The sequence below is a fragment of the Homo sapiens genome, chromosome 5, assembly GCF_000001405.40.
Source record: "Homo sapiens chromosome 5, GRCh38.p14 Primary Assembly".
NCBI lineage: Eukaryota > Metazoa > Chordata > Mammalia > Primates > Hominidae > Homo > Homo sapiens.
In genome coordinates, this window is record NC_000005.10 from 12,236,100 (window position 1) to 12,239,473 (window position 3,374).

The window sequence follows — 3,374 nt, forward strand, 5'->3', positions numbered from 1 at the left end:
ACAAAAAAAGTTCTTCCATCTGGAAATTTTAAAATTCTCTAACAAATTTTTGGAGAATATGGACATGAAAATTAAAATTATTTTAAAAAATTAAAAACACTATGTATCCAAATTATAGGATTTATTTTAAACTATGAAAAAAGAAAAACTCATAGTCAGAAGCATGTATTTCAATAAAAATGAGAGAGTTAAATTAGTTTAAATAAATTTCTAACTTGAAAAGCTAGGAAAAGAAAAATGTGAAAGCAAACATAATACCAAAAAATAAATAAAAATTATAATATTATTTAGATAGGAATCAGAGAACAATATAATTAATCACTAAATAAAATTTGTGTTTTATATAATTAGGAAAATTTAAACTACTAACTAACCTACCCAATAAGAAAAAAGAAAGCAAAAACAAAATGTGAAAATGATAAGGAAATAACCATTTAAATAAAAAAATTTTTTTTAATTGAGATATTATTTTAAACATCTCTATGGAGGTAAATAGAATAAATAGATAGTTTCTTTTTAATGTGTAATAAACTGAAAGTGAGATGACTAGAAGTGGAAACAAATTTTCAAGAAAATTGTAGACTAATTCCAAACATGAATATCAACACAAAACTTCTAAATAAAATAGCAAATGAAGCAAAAAGTCAGGGTACATTGTAGATAAATAGGCTTATTTCAGAAAGGTAAGCATGTTCATTATGAAAATCATTGATAAAGTTCTCTAAATGATTAAATCAAAGGAGAGAAGCCATTCTCCTTTTAAATGCTGAAAAGACCTTCAGTAAAATACTAACATGTAGATAAAATGCTAATACCCCCAATATATTTTTTAAAACACATAAAAACATGGAAAGATCGCAAGAACAAATAATGAATCTGACCAAAGTAAAGAAATATGGTCACTTCAGTCATAATAATTAAAATGCAGGTTGAAACTATACATAAAAATAGCATTGCTCCTTTTGTACATTGAAAAAAATTGTAAAAGCTGGATAACATAACTCTGCTGGCATTGCCGTGGAGATACCTGCCTTCTCATTCATTGCTGGTGTTAGTGCCAGATGGTATGCCTTATGAAGAGGAATTGTGTGATATCTCATCAATGTCCATTGCCAATTTGCCCTTTGCAGTAGCAACTTCATTTCTAAGATTTAACATCAAAGTAGAAGGTGGGGAGAAATATGTTCAAATGATTATTCATTGTGACATTATTGCTAGCTGTGAAATATTAGAAACTACATAAATGCACTGTAGTCTGATTGAATTAACTATGGTATATACATGTAATGGAATGCTATATGTCTCTTAAAAACAAAAGAGATCTATGTAGTATAGAGTGAGTTCCTGGATACACTGTCAAGGGTTAACATCGTAGATACAGTGTGCTACCTGTCCTACCTAGTTATTTGTGTTCCTCTCTCCCTGCAAAAACCACAGGAAGAATAAGCCAGAAATAGTGACGTGCAGAAGAAATCTGGCAACATGGTACATGGTGTAGGGAAAAGAAGACAACTCCTCTGAGCATAATACTTTTGACTTTTGAAGTGTATTCCAAATCTTCAAAAAATCAAATTGAATAAACAGATAAGGAATCTTAACACTGTTAAAGAGGAAAGTCGCACTGGACAAGATGAGGAGACAGAGATTGATTTTATTCTGATATTACGTCCAGCAATAGGGTAGTGGGGACAGACCAACTCGATACCAGCAAGAGCTGGAACGTTTTTAAGATCTGGGGTTGGAGGGAACCTTAAGCCAATTTTGTCTGCCAGTTGGCCTTAACCAAAGGAAAAGTAAACTTTTTATTTTCATGATAGGAGGTAGCTTTACAACTTAGAGCAAGGTGCCCCACTGCAGCTAGGCTCCTACCCTCCCACAGAGAGAGGGAGAGGGGTTACATCTTCCTTGATGATTACCTTTCAAAAGCATGGCTCCTAGGTCTATTCTTGGGTTGTGAAAGTGGAAAGAGGCTCTTAAAAAGATTTGCATTTCAAAAGTGCAGAGAGAGGATTTACCATGAGAAGTTTTCTAAAGTAAACGCTTTAAGATCCTGGAGGCAGGAAGAAACCTGCCTAATGTTTACTCAAGCTGAGGGGAATGGTAAGGCTTTCTTGGCGACTAATTAGCTCTATGTCAAATTGATTAATTGATTAAGATAAAGAAGGTATATTAGTCAAGGTTCTCCAGAAAGACAATACAGGCTACATAGATACGTAGAAAGAGATTGCACGTGAGGGATTGGCTCGCATGATTACAGAGGCTGAAAAGTCTATGATCTGCCATCTGCAAGCTGAAGGCCCAGGAAAGCCAGTGGTGTAGTTTCAGATCCAGCCCAAAGATTTGGAAACCGAGAAGTTGATAAGTCCCAGTCTGAGGCTGAAGGTGATGTGAAAATCCCCATCTGTTACCTAAAGAAAATTATATTTTTCTTTCACCCTCTCACCAGAAATAGTCACCATTAGTTTTATGAGAACTTTCTTCTACTTGTTGGAATAATAAAAATAAAAGTCTTACCTATGTGCATCAAATAGATAGTGCTTGAGTAATATGGATTGCCTGTTTGTCTAAGTGTTGGGGATACTGTGGTAACAAAATAAGACAAAACCCCTGTGCTCTGTTCTAGTAGAATTGTTAATAAACCTTCAAGATTACTAGTTTAATTGAGGTCAGTTGTTAAACAGGTTTTGGCAGATGAAGGGCAGCATATATCTAAAAATCATGGAACCCCTTAGTCCTGGACCTTTTCTTGCAAATATTGAGACTACTGTATACTGCTTTTCCTGAAGTAGAATAATAATGCGCATCTTCATTACTTTCTCCTCCCTCCTTAAAAGGAAAAAAAAAGAAAGCTTAGAATGTTCATGTTCTGCTCCCATCAGTGGTTCCTAAAGAAAGGCTGGGGTGAGGTAGTGGCATGGAATTGGTAGGCCAAGACTTGGCTCACTGGACAATGAGTTTTCAGTTCAATACCATGTTTAACGACATTACTGCTCTGGTTACCCATGAACTTGTAATGCTGTGATTTGTTGGAGTTTTATTTATCTATGTATTTACTTATTTTACATTTAAAAATTGCATTTGATTATACTTTTATTTTAAGTTTACTGCTTTTAATTTACATGTAATTTTCTCAATGTTTGGGCCTATGTCAAAAAATAATGGAATAATAATATTAGGTTTAAATAATTCTGAATTGTCTAGTCATTAGCAAAATAAATTTAAACATAGGAGGCTTTTTGAAAACTCTATAATAAAGCTTCCGATTTCTATAAGCTGAAGTTGAAGAATCCAATTCAAATAAATACATATTTAAATAGAGATTGTGTTGACTATTCAAGGAAAACCTTTCCCTTATATTTCTATAAATGGGCCAT

At 33.3% G+C, this 3,374-nt stretch overlaps 1 annotated feature.

The window, feature by feature from the left end:
* Positions 1,608-2,447: an enhancer, noted in NCBI's record as "OCT4-NANOG hESC enhancer chr5:12237819-12238658 (GRCh37/hg19 assembly coordinates)". NCBI's record gives its function as "activates a minimal SCP1, AML or CMV promoter by ChIP-STARR-seq in naive and primed H9 embryonic stem cells {active_cell/tissue: H9 hESC(naive and primed)}" and the evidence as "EXISTENCE:reporter gene assay evidence [ECO:0000049][PMID:30033119]".